Source organism: Homo sapiens, chromosome 10, assembly GCF_000001405.40.
Source record: "Homo sapiens chromosome 10, GRCh38.p14 Primary Assembly".
In the NCBI taxonomy this organism is placed as follows: Eukaryota; Metazoa; Chordata; class Mammalia; order Primates; family Hominidae; genus Homo; species Homo sapiens.
This window is the reverse complement of record NC_000010.11, coordinates 67,827,922-67,849,718: the sequence shown is the minus strand read 5'-3', so window position 1 is coordinate 67,849,718 and position 21,797 is coordinate 67,827,922. Positions and strand designations below refer to the sequence as shown.

General features: G+C 42.0%; 1 protein-coding gene and 1 pseudogene across 2 annotated transcripts in view, besides 2 other annotated features; one reads left to right on the top strand and one right to left on the bottom strand.

Annotated features, from left to right (window-relative positions):
- Positions 183 to 242: an enhancer, noted in NCBI's record as "active region_3457". NCBI's record gives its function as "activates an Ori minimal core promoter by ATAC-STARR-seq in GM12878 lymphoblastoid cells {active_cell/tissue: GM12878}" and the evidence as "EXISTENCE:reporter gene assay evidence [ECO:0000049][PMID:35858748]".
- Positions 273 to 322: an enhancer, noted in NCBI's record as "active region_3456". NCBI's record gives its function as "activates an Ori minimal core promoter by ATAC-STARR-seq in GM12878 lymphoblastoid cells {active_cell/tissue: GM12878}" and the evidence as "EXISTENCE:reporter gene assay evidence [ECO:0000049][PMID:35858748]".
- The window catches only part of DNAJC12 (DnaJ heat shock protein family (Hsp40) member C12), a 41,520-nt gene continuing 31,253 nt past the window's right edge, over positions 11,531 to 21,797 (top strand). For both annotated transcript variants that reach the window (NM_021800.3, NM_201262.2), the window contains exon 1: positions 11,531 to 11,785. In NM_021800.3, coding sequence (NP_068572.1) covers positions 11,708 to 11,785 — 78 coding nt within the window. In that variant the 5' untranslated portion in view covers positions 11,531 to 11,707. The remainder of the gene's footprint in view (positions 11,786 to 21,797) is intronic.
- DNAJC19P1 (DnaJ heat shock protein family (Hsp40) member C19 pseudogene 1) lies at positions 15,527 to 16,071 on the bottom strand (annotated as a pseudogene).

Genomic DNA, 21,797 nt, shown 5'->3' with positions numbered 1-21,797 from the left:
AGAGCCCACCTGTGGGCTGGCTAATTTTCATCCTCGCTCGGAGCTTCTGGAGCTTGTAGCCTCTTGTTTTCCAGCCTTTCTCCTTTTGATTTGAGCTTAGTTTCAGTTTACCTACTTCCAGACTAGGGCATTCGATGTAAAAATAGCACTTACGGAGGGCGGGGGGCGGAGGGGGGGACGGTGTCCCTGAGTATGAAAGTAACTGGCTTGTTTCCGGTTCCTCTGTGGCGCCGTTCTCGCGATGCTCGCGATGCCTTATGGGAGTTGTAGTCTCGGGTGAGAGACGCTTCCCGGCAGGGAGGAACAGGCCTCCAAGGCCTAGGATTGAGCATCGGACTCTCCGTGTCTTGTGTGTGTGGTTCTCTTCTCTTCTCTTGTCTTGTGTGTGTGGTTCTCTTCTCTTCTCTTCTCTTCTCTTCTCCCCTCCCCTCCCCTTCCCTGCCCTCCCCTCCCCTCCCCTCCCCTTCCCTGCCCTCCCCTGCCCTCCCCTGCCCTCCCCTTTCTTTTTTCTGACGGAGTGTCACTCTGTTGCCCAGGCTGGAGTGCAGTGGCGCGATCTCGGCTCACTGCAACCTCCGCCTGCCTGGTCAAGCAATTCTCCTGCCTCAGGCACCCGAGTAGCCGGGACTATAGGCGCCCGCCACCACACCCGGCTAATTTCTGTATTTTTAGTAGAGATGGGGTTTCACCATTCTGGCCAGGCTGGTCTGGAACTCTTGACCTCAAGTGATCCACCCGCCTTGGCCTTCCAAAGTGCTGGGATTACAGGCGTGAGCCACCGCGCCCGGCCTCCACAGAGCTTTAACTCTGTTAAAAAGTTCTACATAATTTCTACTATACGCTATATTCTTCCATACAGAAGAAAAATTATGGGATGACTACATCGACTTCACACAGTTTAAAAAAGTATAAAAGGAAATGAAAATCTTCTTTTGAGTACCTGCCCAGTTCCTCCCCTAAAAGAATACTGTTGCTTGCTTTTTTTTTTTTTTTTTGAGATGAACTTTGGCTCTTGTTGCCCAAGCTGGAATGCAATGGCGCAATCTCGGCTCACTGCAACCTCCGCCTCCCGGGTTCAAGCAATTCTCCTGCCTCAGCCTCCCTAGAAGCTGAGATTACAGGTGTGCGCCACCACTCCCAGCTAATTATTATTAGTAGTAGTAGTAGAGACGGAGTTTCACCATGTTGGCCAGGCTAGTCTCGAACTCCTGACCTCAATCAGGTGATCCACCCGCCTCAGCCTCCCAGAGTTCTGGGATTATAGGCATGAGCCACTTCGCCCGGCCTGCTGCTTGCTTTTTTTTTTTTTTGAGACGGAGTCTCGGTCTGTAATCCAGGCTGGAGTTCAGTGGTACGATCTTGGCTCACTGCACCTCCACCTCCTGGGTCCCGGTTAAAAAAATTCACCTGCCTCAGTCTCCCGAGTAGCTGGGATTACAGGAACGCACCACCATGCCACGCTAATTTTTGCTTTTTTTTTTTTTTTTTTTAAGTAGAGACGGGGATTTCACCCTGTTGGCCAGGCTGGTCTTGAACTCCTGACCTCATGATCTGCCCACCTCGGCCTTCCAAAGTGCTGGGATTATAGGCGTGAGCCACCGCTCCCAGCCTGTTGCTTGCTTTTTAAAGGCAGTTATCTTTAGAAAAAATTACAAGTGCAAATGTACATACTATTAAAAAGTACACAATAGAGATAATACTGTAATACTCTTCTCAAACCTGTTTTTTCATTTGATAGCACTCGTTAGACATCTTTCCATACTTGCACATAAAAAGCTATCTTTATTCTCTTTTCACTGGCAATACAATAGTTCATCCTACAAATAGCATAATTTATTCATCTCCTGCCCTCCTCAACTCCACCGATGAACATTTTGTTGTATATATATTTTTTCCTGTTGCAAACGACGCTGCAGTGGTCCTCTTGAACATATTTTGGTGTATATCCACAAGCTGAATTTGTAGAGACAAAATTGCCCTGTCAAGTATAGATATGCTTTATAAAAGGTGATAAATACACCAAATTGCCAAATTGTACCAAATTACACTCTCATCCAACAATGTATGGAAATGCTTTCTTCGTCATTTCTGTTTTCTGGCATGGGTATTATCAAACCTTTGCTAATCTGAGAGGTGAACAACTTTATCCTCTTTGGATTGATTTGCAGTTTCATAATTATTAGTGATGTTGCACTACTATTTGTATGTTTATTGGTCGTTTGTATTTCTGAAAGTAGTTGTATTTTTGGCTTAATTTTCTTTCTTTCTTTCTTTTTTTTTTTTTTTTTTTCTAGACGGAGTCTCGCTCTGTCGCCCAGGCTGGAGTGCAGTGGCGTGATCTCCGCTCACTGCAAGCTCCGCCTCCCAGGTTCACACCATTCTCCTGCCTCAGCCTCCCGAGTAGCTGGTACTACAGGCGCCTGCCACCACCCCCGGCTAATTTTGTTTTTTTTTGTATTTTTAGTAGAGACGGGGTTTCACCGTGTTAGCCAAGATGGTCTCCATCTCCTGACCTGGTGATCCGCCTGCCTCGGCCTCCTAAAAGTGCTGGGATTACAGGCGTGAGCCACCAAGCCCGGCATTTTTGGCTTAATTTTCTGTTGTGTTGTTAAGCTTTTTAAAATTGATTTGTCTGCACTTGTATATTAAGGAAGTTAGCCTTTTGTCTGTTATGAGAATTATGAAATTTTTTTCTTTGTATATTATTTGCCTTCTGATTTTGCTTTTGTATTTTTTTGGTCACATAAATGTGCTTACTTTTTTTTTTGAGACAGGGTCTTGCTCTGTCGCCCAGACTGGAATGCAGTGGCGTGATCTCAGCTCACTGCAGCTTGGAGTTCCCCAGACTCAAGCGATCCTCCTGCCTCAGCCTCCCTAGTAGCTAGCTGGGATACAAGTGCTTTTTTTTTTTTTTTTTGTAGAGACTGAGTCTTGCCATGTTGCCTAGGCTGGTCTCAAATTCTGGGGCTCAAGCGATCCACCTGCCTTGACCTCCCAAAGTGCTGGGATTACAGGCATGGGCCACCGTGCCAGGCCACTTAATTTTTATATAGTTATGCTCATGAGATTTTTTTCCATGGCTTCTGTGTTATTTGATTTTTCTGTAATTTATTTTGGTATAAGGAGGAGTGGCTCTAGCTTTATTATTTATCACTTCTCCAAAAGATTAGCTAGTGGTCTTGTCATGATTTTTGTTACCTCTATAGATGGGGAGAAAATCCCAAAGAATATTAAAATTATATCCTACCATGAGATGCTGCAACAGGTTTGAAGGTTAGTTTTGGGGAACAGAGCAGGAATAACAAAGTGGCACTCCAACTTCCCTCAAAACATCTGCTCATCTTGTATTATTGCTTTTTCTGAACAATATCCTATGCCAATATTTATTAAAATAAGTAATGAAAATTTTCTAATCCATACGCAACTTAAAAAAGACACTGGTTAGGCCGGGCATGGTGGCTCACACCTGTAATCCCAGCACTTTGGGAGGCCGAGGCGGGCAGATCACGACGTCAGGAGATCGAGACCATACTGGCTAACACGGTGAAACCCCTCTACTAAAAATACAAAAAATTAGCTGGGTGTGGTAACACGTGCCTGTAGTCCCAGCTACTCGGGAGGGTGAGGTGGGAGGATCACTTGAACCCAGGAGGTGGAGGTTGCAGTGAGCTGAGATCGCACCACTGCACTCCAGCCTGGGTGACAGAGCGAGACTCCATCTCAAAAAAAAAGACAAATAAAGTATTGTATGACCAGGGTGGAATGCTGTGCAGATGTTGAAAAGAATGAGACAATCAAGTGAAAAGGGAAAAAGAGCACTAAGATTCAGAAGTGTATTGCTGTGGTTTGAGTGTGTCCCTCCAAAATTTATGTTGGAATTGAATACTCATTGTGATGGAATTAAGAAGTTGGGCCTTTTGGGAAGTGATTAAATCATGAGGGCTCTGTATTCATGAATGGGATTAGTGCCCTTATAAAAGGTTGAAGGGAGCTGCCTTGCCCTTTTTGTCACGTCAGGACACAGCAACAAGGTGTCATTTATGAAGCAAAGAGTAAGCCTTACCAGACACTGAATCTGCTGGCACCTTTATCTTGAACTTCCAAGCCTCCATAAATGTATGAAATACATTTATATTATTATTAATTTTTTTTTCAGATGGAGCCTCACTCTGTTGACCAGGCTGGAGTGCAGTGGTGCGATCTCAGCTCACTGCAACTTCTGCCTCCCAGGTTCAAGTGATCCCTCGAGTAGCTGTGATGACAGATGTGAGCCACCATGCCTGGCTAATTTTTGTATTTTTAGTGGAGACGGGGTTTCACCATGTTGGTCAGGTTGGTCTTGAATCCCTGACCTCGTGATCCACCTCCCTCGGCTTCCCAAAGTGCTAGGATTACAGGCATGAGCCACCGCGCCTGGCTGACCAGACTAATCTTAAAAGCTCTAAGTTTAACATGTTATTCACATGCTCAAGAACCTACAACAGTTCCTATTGCATCCATACTCACTCAGTGTCTTCCACCTGATCATCAAGGCTTTCTACATTCTGGCCCAGGTCTTCTGTTCAATCCCAGTATTAAAGGCATTCTCTCCAACATACCTTGCCATAAGGTCATTTTCCTTACCTTTAACTGAACACGCAATGGACATTTCCATCTCTGTATGATAGCTTATGTGTTTTGCTCCTTTCTCCTGCTTTTCATTTATTTTGTGAGTGCTTCTATGAATTCCTGGGTTAAAAAGTTCCTAAAAATCACATTGTCTTAGGCCATACTTGCATTGCTATGAGGGAATACCTGAACCTGGGTAATTTATAAAGAATATATATATATTTTTACTTTTCATTGAGACAGGGTCTCACTCTCTCACCCAGGCTGGGGTGCAGTGGCATGATTGTGGCTCACTGCAGCCTTGAGCTCCTGGGCTCAAGTGATCCTCCCACCTCGGCCTCTGGAATAGCTGGGACTACAGGCATACGCCACCATGCCCAGCTAATTTTTGTATTTTTTGTAGAGATGGGGTTTTGCCGTGTTGCCCAGGCTGGTCTCGAACTCGTGAGCTCAAGTGATCCACCTGCCTCAGCCTCCCAAAGTGCTATAACTACAGGCATGAGCTGTGACACTCGGCCAAGAAAAGAGTTTTAATTGGCTCGTGGTCCTGAAGGCTGTACAAGCATGCAGCCAGCATCTGCTTGGCTACTGGGGAGGCCTCAGAGAGCTTTTACTCATGGCAGAAGGCAAAGCAGGAGCAGGAATGTCACATGGCAAGAACAGGAACAAGAGAGTGAGGGGGAAGATGCCATACCACACACTTTTAAACAGCCAGATCTTATGAGAATTCACTCACTATTCTGAGGACAGCACCAGGAGGATGGTACTAAACCATTCATGAGAAATCTGGCTCCATGATCCCATCACCTCCTACCAGGCCCTAGCTCCAGCATTGGGGATTATGATTCAACATGAGATTTAGAGGGGACAACATCTAAACTGCATCATTCTACCTTGACCCCTCAAATCTCATATTCTTCTCACATTGCTGAATACAATTATCCCCTGCCCATAGTTCCCCAAAGTCTTAATTCATTCTAGCATTAACTCAAAAGTCCCAAGTCCAAAGTCTTATCTGAGACTCAAGCCATGTTCCTTCCACCTATGAACTTGTAAAATAAAAGACAAGTTATTTACTTCCAAGATACATGGAGATACAGGCATTGGGCAAACATTCCCTTTCCAAAAGGAAGAAATCAGCTAAAAGAAAGGAGCAACATGCCGGGTGCTGTGGCTCATGCTTGTAATCCCAGCACCTTGGGAGGCTGAGGAGGGTGGATCACCTGACGTCAGGAGTTGGAAACCAGCCTGGCCAACATGGTGAAACCCCGTCTCTACTAAAAATACAAAAATTAGCCGGGTGTGATGGCACATGCCTGTAATCCCAGCTACTCAGGGAGGATGAGGCAGGGGAATAGCTTGAACCTGGGAGGTGCAGGTTGCAGCGAGCCGAGATTGTGCCACTGTACTTCAGTCTGGGCAACAGAGCAAGACTCCACCTCAAAAAAAAAAAAGGAAAAAAAAGAAAGGAGCAACAAGTCCCAAGCAAGCCTGAAACCCAGCAGGACATTCATTAAATCTTAAAGATCCAAAATAATTCTTGACTCCATGTCTCACGTCCTTGGCACACTGCTGTGAGGGGTGGGCTCCCAATCCCTTGGGCAGCCCTGCCCTTGTGGCTTTGCAGGCTGCTCTCCTGGGTTGGAGTTGAGTGCCTGTGACTCTGTGACTTTTCCAGGTGCAGGGTGTGAGCTGCCAGTGGATCTACCACTCTGGGCCGGGAAGGTGGGGGCCCTATTCCCACAGCTTCACTAGGCAGTGCCCCAGTGGGGACTCTGTGTGGGAGTTTGTATTAGGCCATTCCCACATTTTTATAAAGAAATACCTGGCCAGGTGCAGTGGCTCATGTCTGTAATCCCAGCACTTTGGGAGGCTGAGGCAGGCGGATCACAAGGTCAGGAGTTTGAAACCAGACTGGTCAGTATGGTGAAACCTTGTCCCTACTAAAAATACAAAAATTAGCTGGGCATGGTTGCTTGTGCCTGTAGTCCCAGCTACTTGAGAGGCTGAGGCAGAAGAATCGCTTGAACCCGGGGGGTGGAGGTTGCAGTGAGCCAAGACTGCGCCGTCGCACTCCAGTCTGGGTGACAGAGCAAGACTCCATCACAAAAAAAAAAAAAAAGAAAAAAGAAATACCTAAGTCCGGGTGCAGTGGCTCATGCCTGTAGTCCAGCACTTTGGGAGGCCAAGGTGGGTGGATCACGAGGTCAGGAGTTCAAGACCAGCCTGGCCAAGATGGTGAAATCCCATCTCTACTAAAAAATACAAAAAATTAGCCAGGTGTGGTGGCAGGCGCCTGTAATCCCAGCTACTCAGGAGGCTGAGGCAGAGAATTGCTCGAACCCAGGAGGCAGAGGTTGCAGTGAGCTGACATTGTGCCATTGCACTCCAGCATGGGCGACAGAGTGAGACTCTGTCTCAAAAAAAAGAAAAGAAAAGAAAAGACATACCTGGGACTGGGTAATTTATAAAGAAAAGAGATTTAATTGGCTTATGGTTCTGCAGGCTGCACAGGGAGCATAACACAGGCATCTGCTTTTGGGGATACCTCAGGAAGCTTGCAATCACAGCAGAAGGTGAAGGGGGAGCAGGCATCTCCTATGGTGGGAGCAGGAGCAAGAGAGACAGAGAGTGAAGTGATACACACTTTTGAACAGCCAGATCTCAGAGAAGTCACTCATTTTTGTGAGGACAGCATCAAGAGGATGGTGCTCAACCATTCATGAGAAATCCAGTCCCATGATCTGATCACTTCCCACCAGGCCTTACCTCCAATACTGAGGATTACAATTCAACATGAGATTCAGGCAGGGAGACTTTCCAAACTATGTTAAAGTTCCAACCTCCCATTTCCCCTCTGCACTGCCCTAGTAGAGGCTCTTGGTGAGGGCTCTGTCCCTGTGGTAGGCTTCTTCTTGGGTACCCAGGCTTTCTTATATATTCTCTGAAATCTAGGAGGAAGCTGCCAAACCTCCTTCACTCTTGCATTCTGAACACCTGCAGGCTTAACACCACATGGAAGCCACCCAAGGCTTACAGCCTGCACCCTTCTGAGCTGTGGCCTGAGCTGTACCTGGGCCCCTTTGAGCTGAGGCTGGGGCTGAAGTGGCTGGATGCAGGAAGCAGCCTCCCATAGTGGTACAGGGCAGCAGCACCCTGAGCCTGGCCCCCTAAATCATTCTTTTCTCCTGGGCCTCTAGGCCTGTGATGAGAGGGGCTGCCTCTTAGATCTCTGAAATGCCTTTGAGGTTTTTTTCTCATTGTCTTGTCTATCAGCCTCTGACCTGGCTCCCTTTCATTTATGCAAATCTCTTTAGCAAGTGGTTGCTCTGCAGTCTGCTTAGATTCTTGCCCTGAAAATGGGTTTTTGTTTTCTACCACATGGCTAGGTTGCAAATTTTCCAAACTTTTACATTCTGCTTTCCCTTTAAATATAAGTTCCAACTTTAAGTCATTTCTTTGCTTCTGCATCTGAGGATAGGCTGTTAGAAGCAGCCAGGTCACTTCTTGAACACTTTGCTGCCTAGAAATTTCTTCTGCCAGATACCCTAAGTCATCACTCTTAAGTTCAAACTTCCACAGATTCCTAGGGCATGAATACCATATAGCTTTGTTCCTTGGTAAGGCATAACAAGAGTGACCTTTATTCCAGTTCTCAATAAGTTCCTCATTTCCATCTGAGACCTCATTAGCCTGGACTTCACTGTCCATATCACCGTCAGCATTTTGGTCACAACCATTTAACCAGTCTTGCAGGAGTTCCAAACTTTCCCTCATCTTCCTGTCTTCTTGTGAGCCCTCCAAAGTCTTCCAGCCTCTGCCCATTACCCAGTTTCAAAGCTGCTCCCACTTTGTCAGGTATCTTTATAGCAAGGCCCCACTCTTTGGTACCAATTTTTTGTGTCAGGCCATTCTTGCATTGCTATGAAGGAATACCTAAGACTTGGTAATTTATACTGAAAAGACGTTTAATTGGCTCACAGTTCTGCAGAATGTGGAAGCATGGAGCCAGCATCCGTTCAGCTTCTGGGTAGGCTTCAGGGAGCTTTTACTTATGGCAGAAGGTGAAGTGGGAGTAGACATGTTACATGGTGAGAACAGGAGTAAGAGAGCCAGGGGGAAGATACCACACACTTTAAAAACTTTTAAGCCGGGTACAGTGGCTCACCCCTCTAATCCCAGCACTTTGGGAGGCCACGGCGGGTGGATCACCTGAAGTCTGGAATTTGAAACCAGCCTGACCAACATGGAGAAACCCCATCTCTACTAAAAATTCAAAATTAGTCGGGCATGGTGGCACATGCCTGTAATCCCAGCTACTCAGGAGGCTGAGGCAGGAGAATCACTTGAACCCAGGTGGAGGTTGCGGTGAGCCAAGATCACACCATTGCACTCCAGCCTGGGCAACAAGAGTGAAACTCTGTCTCAAAAAAAAAATTATATTATTAATATAAAAATAAGGACAGAGTCTCACTATGTTGCGCAGGCTGGTTTTGAACTCCTGGGCTCAAACAATCCTCCTGCCTTGGTCTCTCAAAGTGCTGGGATTACAGGCATAAGCCACTGCAACTGGCCAATACCACACTTTTTTGTTTGTTTGTGTTAGACAAGGTCGTGCTCTGTCACCCAGGCTGGAGTGCAGTGGTGTGATCTCAGCTCATTGCAGCCTCCACCTCCTGGGTTCAAGCAATTCTCGTGCCTCAGCCTCCCAAGTAGCTGAAATTACAGGCATGTGCCACCACACCCAGCTAACTTTTTTGTATTTTCAGTAGAGATGAAGTTTTGCCATGTTGGCCAGGCTGGTTTCGAACTCCTGGCCTCAAGTGATCTGCCTGCCTCGGCCTCCCAAAGTTCTGGGATTACAGGTGTGAGCCACCATGCCCAGCCCTAACATTCCATTTGTTTAGTCATCCGTTGATGGACACTTGCATTGCCTCCACTTTTTGGCTATTATGACTAATGCCTTGATGAACATGAGTATATAAATATCTTTTCAAGTTCCTGCTTTCAATTCTTTTGTGTATTTACCCAGAAGTGGAATTGTGGGGTCACATGGTAGTTCTATGTTTAATTTTTTGAGGAACCACCATACTGCTTTCCACCATGGCAACTTCACATCATTAAAAGGCCATTTATCAGTGATTTAGATCAAGATATTGTGATCTAATTTTTTTTTTTTTTTTTGAGATGGACCCTGGCTCTGTCACCCAGGCTGGAGTCCAGTGGCACGATCTCGGCTCGCTGCAACCTCCGCCTCCCAGATTCAAGCAATTCTCCTGCCTCAGCATCCTGAGTAGCTGGGACTACAGGTGCGTGCCACCATGCTTGGCTAATTTTTGTATTTTTAGTAGAGACAGGATTTCATCACATTGGTCAGGCTGGTCTCGAACCCCCGACCTCGTGATCCGCCCGCCTCGGTCTCCCAGTGCTGGGATTATGGCATGAGCCACCGTGCCTGGCCTTAAAATTCTATATAGAACTTTTAGCAAGACAGCATGTACAATGAAGGATTAGTAAAAAATGGTGTTTCAGTGCTTTTTCTTGCTTCTCTTCAGAAATAAACCTTTAAAAAGATGTATATAGGTGGGCTAAAAGAAAAACTATTTTTTCCCCTCAGGTGGGGGAATTTAAAGTGTTAAGGGCCAGGCATGTTGGCTCACATCTGTAATCGCAGCACTTTGGGAGGCCAAAGTGGGAGGATCACTTGAGTCCAGGGGTTTAAGACCAATCTGGGCAATATGGCGAGACCCTGTCTCTCTGAAAAATGAAACAAAAAAAGTGTTAAGGCAGTCAAAGTGTTGTGTCCCTGACCACTCACCTTGTTCTCTAAATCCCAGACCTGAACTGTGTTTCTTAGGGCCAAAATGAACTGAAACATAAATTGCCTGGACCTACCTCAGACTAGAGACACTCCTGAGTCTGGAGAACCAACCCAGGAGAAATAGCACAGCCATCTGACCCGAGTTATCATACAGTTCTTCTCATTGTCCTATTTTATTTTCTCTAAAGCACAAATCACTATTTTATTTTTTTATTTTTTGAGATGGAGTCTTGCTCTGTAGCGCAGTCTGGAGTGCAGTGGCACCATCTCGGCTCACTACAGCCTCTGCCTCCTGGGTCCAAGTGATTCTTCTGCCTCAGCCTCCCAAGTAGCTGGACTACAGGTGTGGGCCACCATGCCTGGCTTACAAATCACTATTTTAAATGATCGTGTTTTTTTTTTTTTTTTTTTTTTTTGCATGTTTTTCAGCTGTCTTCCTCCATCAGAGCGTAAGCTCCATAAAAATCAAGACTGTGTTATTGGCTGGGCGCTGTGGATCATGCCTGTAATCCCAGCACGTTGGGAGGCCGAAGCAGGCAGATCGCTTTGAGCTCACGAGTTCGAGACCAGGCTGGGCAACATGGCAAAACCCCCTCCTCTTAAAACATAACAAAACAAAAACCAAAAATTAGCTGGACATGGTGCTATGTGCCTGTGGTCCCAGCTACTAGGGAGGCTGAGGTGGGAGGATCGCTTGAGCTGGGGAGACAGAGGTTGCAGTGAGCTGAGACTGCACCACTGCACTCCAGCCTGGGCAACAGAGTGAGACCTTGTCTGAAAATAAACAAATAAAAAATAAAATTAAGTATTTTAAACACTAAGAAAAGCTCCCATTATCCTTATTAACACATCCTAAGATTTTACCACATTGCTTCACATTTTTTTTCTTTTTTTTTTTTAAAGGATAGAGACAAAAATATATAGGAGATGGAGAAGTGGCTAATGTGGCAAGTTTCTGAAAATAGACAGTCTTTATTAACTCATAAGACAAATGGTTCACATGCATCTCTTATATAAACTCAAACTACAGATCCCAGGCAGCACTGCAATAATAGACACGTGGACTGTTCTTTTCTTCTCTGTAAACAGCCAATGAGAGGCAGAGTTTACAAAGGTCTAGGATGACATCTGGTGTATTGACTGTGGCCAGTCTTAAAGCTAGTTTTTGCTATGTGGAACATGCTGCTCTAATTCAGATTTAAAGAGTTTCTTCCTGTTAATTCGAAGCTCACTGTGCCTCTTGTTTCCGAGGGAAGAAGGACTGATTAAGTCATCTAAATGGATGCAATACTGAATTACAGGTCAGAAGATACTGAAGATTACTACACATTACTGGGATGTGATGAACTATCTTCGGTAAGACAGTGGATAATATTTTTATCACAACAGTATTCTTTTTCACAATAGTATTTCAAGTTTTTATTTAAGGTTTTAACTTTGAATTTTTAGTCACATTGCCTACAAACCTAACCTTGTGTTGTTTTAAAGCACTTTTGGCTCAGAGAAAGTTAAGAATTTAAATGTATGTTGGGATTTTACTTGAATAGTGTCCTATGGGAATTTTACGGAAGCTTCTGATTAAATATGTGTATTCTGGCACATGGCCATATGCTGTTTCACAATATAGTATATTAAAAATAAATATTTGAAATTTTATTGTAATTTCTGATGGCAGTGTTTCACAGTATATATAAGCTATACCTTTATTATGGTGACTCATAATTGAGGTGAAATGAAATTTCTTATAAAATTAGGGATTTTAATATATTTTATTAAAATGTGTACTCCTATGTGAGCAGTCAAAATAGAAACAAAGAAGCATCCCTTTATGTTAATATTTCAAATTGTGTGACAGAAATTACTTCTTGAAAGGGTGGCTTCTGAAACAAAACATGTGAAAACTCTGTAGCTGTTCACTGGATCTGTAAGAAAACAAAATTTTTAAAGTTCTCAATAAACAATTATAAAGGTTGTAGAGGTTTTTTAAATTATGGAAAAATCATTTATAATTCTCTCTCCCAAGGATAACAGTATTAATATTTTGGCATATTAATCTCCACTATTCTTTCTATGTATATTCTTTAAAGACCTGTTTGGGAGGATATTATATGTACTTGTTGATTCCTGCTTTTTACCCATTCGTATTATAACAAGGAATTTTCCATGCTATTAAACTTTCCTTGTACACTTTTTAGTGGTTGCAAAATATTTTATTTTGCTGTGTTACCACAGTTGAATTATTCTCTTATTGTTAAATATTTTATTTCCAATTTTTCAATATTTCAAATAATGTTGAGATTAATATAAAATATATTCATTATTAAATTATATATTATTAAATCATGTTATTAGGATATATTTATGTTTTATAATTAATGTATTTTATTTTATTTATTTTTATTAAAATCTAAGTAGTAAAATTAACATTGTAAAGCAAAATGTTTTTATATTTATTGTTGTTTCATAAAGGCAGTAGTTCATTAATAAAATGTGCTTAGTTTTGTTTTAAGAATAGAATGCATTACTGGACACAAAGGATTAAAATCTCTATTTTTGCCATGCTGAGGAAGTTATCTTAGACACGTTGAAATTAAAAAAACTGCCCCGCCCCCAGAATAGCTTATAATGGTCTTTTAGTTGCATATTTCTTCTCAAGAATGTGTTATTCTTGTTTATGTTGGTGGTGATTTGCTTATAGCAATTGAGAAAGCTTATTACCATTTTTACCATGTGTTATTCACAGTTGAAATTATACTATTATCAAACAATTTTTGAAGGAATAATTTAAAATCAAAGGAATATAATTTAACTTGATAAGGCTGACAATTTGGATTTAAAAAAATACATGCTAGCTTATACAGTAAGGGTCATTATATCTCCATAATCTTGTGACCTATTTAGTCAGTCCTTTTTTTTTTTTTTCAATTTTACTTTAAGTTCTGGGATCCCTGTGCAGAATGTGCAGGTTTGTTACATAGATACACATGTGCCAGGGTGGTTTGCTGCACCTATCAACCCATCATCTAGGTTTTAAGCCCCGCATACATTAGGTATTTGTCCTAATGCTGTCCCTCCCCTTCTCCCCCACCCCCCGACAGGCCCCGGTGTGTGATGTTCCCCTGCCTGTGTCCATGTGCTCTCATTGTTCATCTCCCACTTATGAGTGAGAACATGTGGTGTTTGGTTTTCTGTTCCTGTGTTAGTTTGCTGAGAATGATGGTTTCCAGCTTCATCCATGTCCCTGCAAAGGACATGAACTCATTCTTTTTTATGGCTGCATAGTCAGTCTTTTGAAGTTATGCTGTTGTCTTTTCAATCTACATAGAAGGAGGATTCATTTTGGACAGCCTTACAGAAAATAATCTCGTTGTTAATGTGTAATATTCAAAATATGGTTACCAGGTGGAGTCATACTTCCTTGTCTCAACATTCCTTTTACTGGATGTATTTTACTGGTCTGTCAATGGCATATCATATCTAGATAACAATTATTTATTTTTAATGAAATGTTTGTCATAATATTGTCACTTCTTTATATATATGTGTGTGTGTGTGTGTGTGTGTGTGTGTGTCATTTTTTCTCTCTTTTTTTTGTTTTTTTGAGATGGAGTCTCACTCTGTTGCCGGGCTGGAGTGCAGTGGTGCAATCTCAGGTCACTGCAACCTCCGCCTCCCAGGTTCAAGTGATTCTCCTTCCTCAGCTTCCTGAGTAGCTGGGACTACAGGCACATGCCACCATGCCTAGCTAATTTTTGTATTTTTAGTAGAGACGGGGTTTCACCGTGTTGGCCAGGATGGTCTTCATCTCTTGACCTCGTGATCTGCCTACCTCGGCCTCCTAAAATACTGGGATTACAGACGTGAGCCACCGCACCTGGCTTTTCTCTTCTTTTTATAGGTATGCTTCTCATTTCAAAAATATTTTTATGACATTTTTGACTAATATGACATTTCCTTTACTTGATTTGTATTGGATAGATTGCCTTTACTTCAGGTATTCCTTCATTTGATGCTCTAAAATTAACCAGAACTCATCATGCCCGAAAGCATTTTAGCTGTTATAATTTCAAAACAATTTGATATTCTAATTTTACTTATCACAATTGAATTGAGACACCCACATAATACTTTTGCTTTGGTATATAGTTCTTACAATTTAAAGTTTGTGCTAGAAATTGATTAAAGTAAAATTATGTATTTTCTAATGGTTCTAGAGCAGTAATCCTGAAGCTTTTCCTTCTCAGAGAGTTTTTAAAATTATCTTTCAGAAATTGAAAATACAACCATGAAAACAAGCAATGAGACTAATTTTCTAGTTTACATAATGACATATATAAATTATGGGAGGATTTCCATGTTATATAGAAAACAATATATTCCCCATTTCAAAACAATTTAACAAAGATTGATTCCAAGACAGTTAGCCTTTCTCCCTATATTGGATTTTTTTTTTAAATTTTTGTTTCTTTGAGATGAAGTCTCACTGTGTTGCCCAGGCTGGAGTGCAGTGGCAGGATCTCAGCTCACTGCAGCCTCCTGGGTTCAAGTGATTCTCCTGCTTCAGCCTCCTGAGTAGCAGGGATTATACGTGCATGCCACTATGCCCAGCTAATTTTTGTATTTTTGTACAGATGAGCTTTCACCATGTTGTCCAGGCTGGCCTTGAACTCCTGACCTCAAGTGATCCGCCGCCTTGGCCTCCCAAAGTGTTGGGATTACAGGCATGAGCCACCGCGCCCGGCCTCTATTCCTCAGTTTTCTAACCTGTAAATGGAAGTAAATAGTACCCACCTCACAGAGTTGTGGGGATTAAATAATACGTGATATATAAAGTACTTTGAACAGTGCCTGGTGCAGAGCGCTAAGTTGTGGTGGTTGTGGTTGTGGCTGTTGTTTTGGCCCCCACAGTGTTACTGTGCACTTGGAACTTAGTACACTTATCCTATCCTTGAGTTTGCATTATTTTTAAGATGTTTTATTTTGCAATAATTTTTGACTTACAGAAAAGTTGTAAAAATAGTACAACAGAGTTCCTATATACCCTTAACCCAGCTTCCCTTTATGTTAACATCATACCTAATGAAAGTATAATGATCAAAATCAGAAATTAAAAAAAATTATAGCTCTGAGGCATTTTATTATAAAAGCTTGGTACTCATATACATAAACTAAAATGAACTTAAAATTCATCATACATTTACTTCATTTTTTAGCTTGACCTTCTAGTAAATTTCTAGCTTCACTGATTTTGGCTGCTATGATTTAAGAGTATAATTTATCAATGAGCATCTCTTATTTTCCCTTTTTTGGCAGTAGGGCTTACCCCTAGCATTAATGCTGCTTCTTGTTTTGTCATTTTGGGTTCAAACTCACCTCAGTAATAGCCACCACTGAAGGCAGATTTTGATAGACTTTGAAAAACTTGCTTTACTTGAGGCTCCATGTGCTCCATGGCTTGCAAAACATAATGGCCTGCAAATCCTGCAGCAGCAATGGTCAGTCCAACTGCTACCATTGTACTGGCCATGGCTATAGCTGGGCTCCCTTGCCTCTACCGAGAGCCTGGATCATCCCAGCCCAGAGATCATGGCCCAAAACTGCACACCTTTACCAGAGTGACGCAGCCACCGATCGCAAGCACAAACCACCAAAAAATCAGAAAATTAACATTGCTATAGTTAACCCTACCATGGTCCAGCAAACATTTTTTTGTAAAGGACTAGATAGACAGAGTCAGGACTAGAATGAGGCAAGTAGGGTGTGTAGGATGCAAAATTTAAGGAGGCACTAACATTTAGGGTTGCGCATGTACAGAAATTTGAGAGAGACAGAGAGAGAGAGAGAGAGAGAGGGAGAGGGAGAGAGAGAGGATATTTCCTTAGACCTAGGTGTCCTGCTTGCCTCACCTAATGCTGATCCTGGCATAGCAAATATTTTAGGCTTTGCAGGCCTTACAGTCTCTGTCCTAACTACTCAGCTCTGCCATTGGAGAAAACAGCCATAGACAATATAAGTGAATGATCTTGGCTGTCTTCCAATAAAACTTTAATTAAAAAACAGGCAGCAGCAGGCCAGAGTCAATCAATCCCTGATCTAAATTATAAGTCTTATCTAATTTCATCAGTTTTCCTAATAATGCCCTTTTTCTGTTCTAGGATCCAAGCCAGGATCCCTTATTACGCTTAACCCTTAATGACCTCCAATCTGATGCTTTCTTCTACCTTCTTTGTCTTTCATGACCTGGACAGTATGAAGACTACTGTCAGTATTTTGTAGAATGTCCCTCAATTTGACTTTGATATTTTCTCATGATTAGATTGAGGTTATGCATTTTTGGAAAGAACTCCTCAGAAGTGATGTTGTGCCTTTCTTAGTATCTCATGTGGGGGTGCATGAAATGGATGTGCTTTATTGACCTTGAGCACTTCGTTAAGGTGATGTCTGTCAGGTGTCTTCTGCTAGGTTTTTCCAAGGTAGGGTTATTATTTTTCCTTTTGTAATTAACAAATATCTTGGGGAAGGTACTTTGAGACTGTCCTGTTTCTTCTCAAACTTTTACTCACTAAGTTTAGCATCCTTCAGTGGATCTTGCCTGTAACAGTTACTACTATGGTGTTTGCCTAATGGTGACTTTCTTTTTCTCATTAATTTTACATTTATTAGTATTCTACAGTAAGGAAATTCTTCAGTAAGGAAAAACTATCCCTTCTCCCACATTTATTTGTTTATTTGGCTTAGTTTTATCACTATCAATTAATAGTTATTGTATTTTAAGTGTTATAACCCAAATATTACCATTATTTATTTTGTGTCTCAAATTGTTTCTATGCCTCATGACTTAATTAATTATCATTTGATTAGAGTAATGTAGGAGGATCTCTCATTTATTTCAGGGATATTGCTAATATCTGGAATTTTGTGGGAAAAATCTAGTTTTAAACTGAGTGAATTAAAATAATATATATCAATTAAATCAGTATTAAAATGAATCTTCTTTTCTTTCTTTTCTTTTTTTTTTTTTTTTGAGATGGAGTTTCACTCTTGTTGCCCAGGCTGGAGTGCAATGACGCAATCTGGGCTCACTGCAACCTTCGCCTCCCGGGTTCAAGCAATTCTCCTGCCTCAGCCCCCCGAGTAGCTGGGATTACAGGCATGCGCCACCACACCCAGCTAATTTTTTGTATTTAGTAGAGATGGGGTTTCACCATGTTGGTCAGGCCGGTCTCAGACTCCTGACCTCAGGTGATCTGCCCACCTCGGCCTCTCAAAGTGTTGGGATTACAGGCGTAAGCCACTGTGCCCAGCCAAATCTTCTCTTTTCTGCAGCACATTTTGCATCATATGAATTTCCATCACTGGAATCAATTCACTCTTAATGAATTAGCCATAATTTTCAGAAAGCTCCTATTACACTATAGTTATGTTACTTGAAGAACATCTGTCAGTCTATGATCAAGTATTTATTGAACATTTCCTGTTGGGCCAGTACTAGAAGTGACATAGGGTGGGGAACAAAACAAAACAAAACAAAAAGGTGAGACATGATGCTAGTGTATAAAGAACCTGGTATCCAATTGAGGAGCCAAAGCTAATACACAGGAAACAATTTGAGAACAATTAAGTATTGTGCTCTGTACTGTCTATAAGTGCAGCAGAAATTAAAGAAAGAATATCTGAATAGACTTCAGAAAGAGATGGGGCTTGAAATGGCCTTACTAGATGGCCATAATTTTAATGCACTGTGGGAGAGACAGGGCATTTGTATGGCTAGGAAATCTTGGAGAATATTCATCCAAGTGGGAATTGGATTAGTCTCCATGGCACACTGGAGTATTTCCTTGCTTAGACAAAAATATTTTGCTAGCAGAATATGGAAAAGATAAGTTTCTAAGTTTTAAAATTTAAGTTCTAAAATTAATATATGTTCAATAAGGAAATGTGGAATACAAAGAAAGCACAAATAAAAATGTTAACCTACATGTTTAACATTTTGGAGTATGACTTATACATGTTAATTATCTGTGCATATATGCTATATCTGTATATGTATATAAATAAGTAAATGCATATGTGTATATGTATGTACGTATGTATGTATTTTTGAGACAGATTCTCACCCTGTGGCCCAGACTGGAGTGCAATGGTGCGATCTCAGCTCACTGCAACCTCTGCCTCCCAGGCTTAAGCGATTCTTGTGTCTCAGCCTCCCAAGTAGCTGGGACTACAGGCACGTGCTACCACACCCGGCTAATTTTTTGTATCTTTAGTAGAGATGAGGTTTCACCATGTTGGTCAGCCTGGTCTCCAATTCCTGACCTCGTGATCCGCCCACCTTGGCCTCCCAAAGTGCTGGGATTACAGGCGTGAGCCACCACACCTGGCCTATGTGTATGTATTTATATGTGTATTTTTGTATGTATTTGGAGTCAGACTGCATGGGTTCAGTTCCTAGATGTGCTACTTATTAGCTGTGTGACCTTGGGAGAATTCCTTAATTTTTCTATGTCTTGATTTCCTAATCTGCAAAATGAGAATAATGATAGTATTAACCTCATACAGTTGTGGGAATTAAATGAAACATTCTATGTAAAGTGCTTAGAAAAGTGCCTGGCACATATTAAGTATCAAAAAATTTATTTATTTATTTATTTATTTATTTATTTATTTATTTATTTATTTTTTGAGACGGAGTCTTGCTCTGTCGCCCAGGCTGGAGTGCAGTGGCGGGATCTCAGCTCACTGCAAGCTCCGCCTCCCGGGTTCACGCCGTTCTTCTGCCTCAGCCTCCTGAATAGCTGTGATTACAGGCGCCTGCCACCACGCCCAGCTAATTTTTTATATTTTTAGTAGAGACGGGGTTTCACTGTGTTAGCCAGGATGGTCTCAATCTCCTGACCTCGTGATCCGCCCGCCTCAGCCTCCCAAAGTGCTGGGATTACAAGAGTGAGCCACAGCGCCCGGCCTATTTATTTATTTTTTGAGACGGAGTCTTGCTCTGTCACTCAGGCTGGAGTGCAGTGGCGCGATCTCAGCTCACTGCAACCTCCGCCTCCCAGGCTCAAGCGATTCTTGTGTCTCAGCCTCCCAAGTAGCTGGGACTACAGGCCATGCCAGGCTAATTTTTTAATTTTTAGTAGAGACAGGGTTTTGCCATTTGGCAATTGGCCAGGCTGTTCTTGAACTCCTGACCTCAGGTGATCTGCCCGCCTCAGCATCCCAAAGTGCTGGGATTACAGGTGTGAGCCACTGCACCCAGGTCAATAAATTTAAAATGATAATAATTATCATTATTATATACATATATAGTTACATAATCCCTTTTGAGATAAGACATGGATTTAAATTGCACATAATACTTACATATTATTATATGCAGTATAACATAATATATTGCACATATCTTACCTTTTCTCATAGAAATATTTAAATTTTCTCAGGTTGTTAAAAATCTTTTATGACAAGATAATTTTTTAAATGAGTAAAGTATTCTAACCTACAGTTACATTACAATCAACTATAACAAACATCCTATTATTGGACATATAGGTTGTAAGAATTAAAGAAAGAGGAGAGAAACACAAAGGGCGGCTTGACAGTCAACAGGGACAGATTTGTTTATTTATTTTTATTTTTTATTTTTTATTTTTTTGAGACGGAGTCTCACTCTGTCGCCCAGGCTGGAGTACAGTGGCGCAATCTCGGCTCACTGCAAGCTCCGCCTCCCAGATTCACGCCATTCTCCTTCCTCAGCCTCCGGAGTAGCTGGAACTACAGGCGGCCGCCACCACGCCCGGCTAATTTTTTTGTATTTTTAGTAGAGACAGGGTTTCACTGTTTTAGCCAGGATGGTCTCGATCTCTTGACCTCGTGATCCACCCGCCTCGGCCTCCCCAAGTGCTGGGATTACAAGCGTGAGCCACCGCACCCGGCCTGACAGGTTTATTTTGAATAAACCTGAGAGGGGCGGCTGGCTGAGTTAGGTTAGAGACACACTCTCCTACAGACTAAGAGTTTCTAAGGCTTCAGGGTGGGAGAGTTTATCAGAGGCTTGGACTGCTTCTCTGTCTCTTTGTTGTGCTTTTCTGGGAGGGAGAGTTGTGTGTCTGTTCCCATCCATCTTTCTGCAGCTGTAGGCATACCCCGCCCGAGTCTGCTTTTTGCTTCCCTATCTTGGTACACCTGAAGGGAAAGGAATGTGCTTATTAAGTAAGGCTCACTGTTTTACTGGGGCCCATTTTGTGAGGGTGAAGTTTGGCAGTTGCTCCAGAGACTTTCCCCCCACCTCCCTCTGCGCCCGAGCTGTCTTATTTGTGTTTTACTGTCTGCTCTTTCTGGCTGCTTGTAGTTCGAACAGAAGTGATTTCCTTGAAATGCATGAGACTAGAAAGGGAACTGGAATTTAAAGTGGCGATGTCTGTCTGAGTTGATGGTGCTCTTGCTCTATCATAGGTTTTTGTTTAAAATTTATATTTTATTCTTGGACCTTCTTACAGCTATTCTTTTCTTACCTCTGATTATCTCCTTAGACAAATTCCTAGAATTGGAATTGTTGAATCAAAGGCTAGGAAATAAATTAAAGGCTCTTCATATATATGTGTGTATATATATATATATAGAGAGAGAGAGAGAGAGAAAATAGAATATTTAACACTTTAAAATTTAAAAACAAGTCTAGATCTCAGTTTTATTTGTTATATAAGCAGGTTATGGTGACTGATGGTTAAAGACAGCACCCAGGAAGAGGAAACACATAGTTAATTACAGTTCCTAACAGGAAGTCATCTTTTCCTATTATTCGAAGGTGTTCTCAGAAGTTTAACAAAGAAAATAATAGTTATTAGTCTGGGTTTTATACATATGCCTATCTAATACAGCCTGACTTTGATTGTAAAAGTGAAGACATTCCTTATGAGAATTGACTAAGGATGACATGGAGCTGATCTACATATAGAGAGATAGATACACACATATATCTATATATAGAGAGATAGATACACACACATATATATACACACACATACAAACATATATGTCTCAATTTTTTTCAAGAAAGTCTATACCTATTTACATCCTCGCCAGCAGAGCATGAATGTTAATTTCTTCGCACTCTCAGTAACACTGGTCGTTACAATCCTTTGGATATTTTGATTTATTTGATTATGAGTAGAGTTGAAAATTTTTTGTATGTTTACAAGACAACAGGGTAGGCAGTTTTGCAGCCTACTGGACTTGGGTCAGGAAGGCAGGATTTAGTGGACCTTGACATCGGGGGTGTCAGCTCCAATGGACTGCACTTGGCAGTGGTCACATGGAGTAGGGAGGCCAGAAGATAAATACAATGTGTTCAAGATAAACTAACCCACTTTAC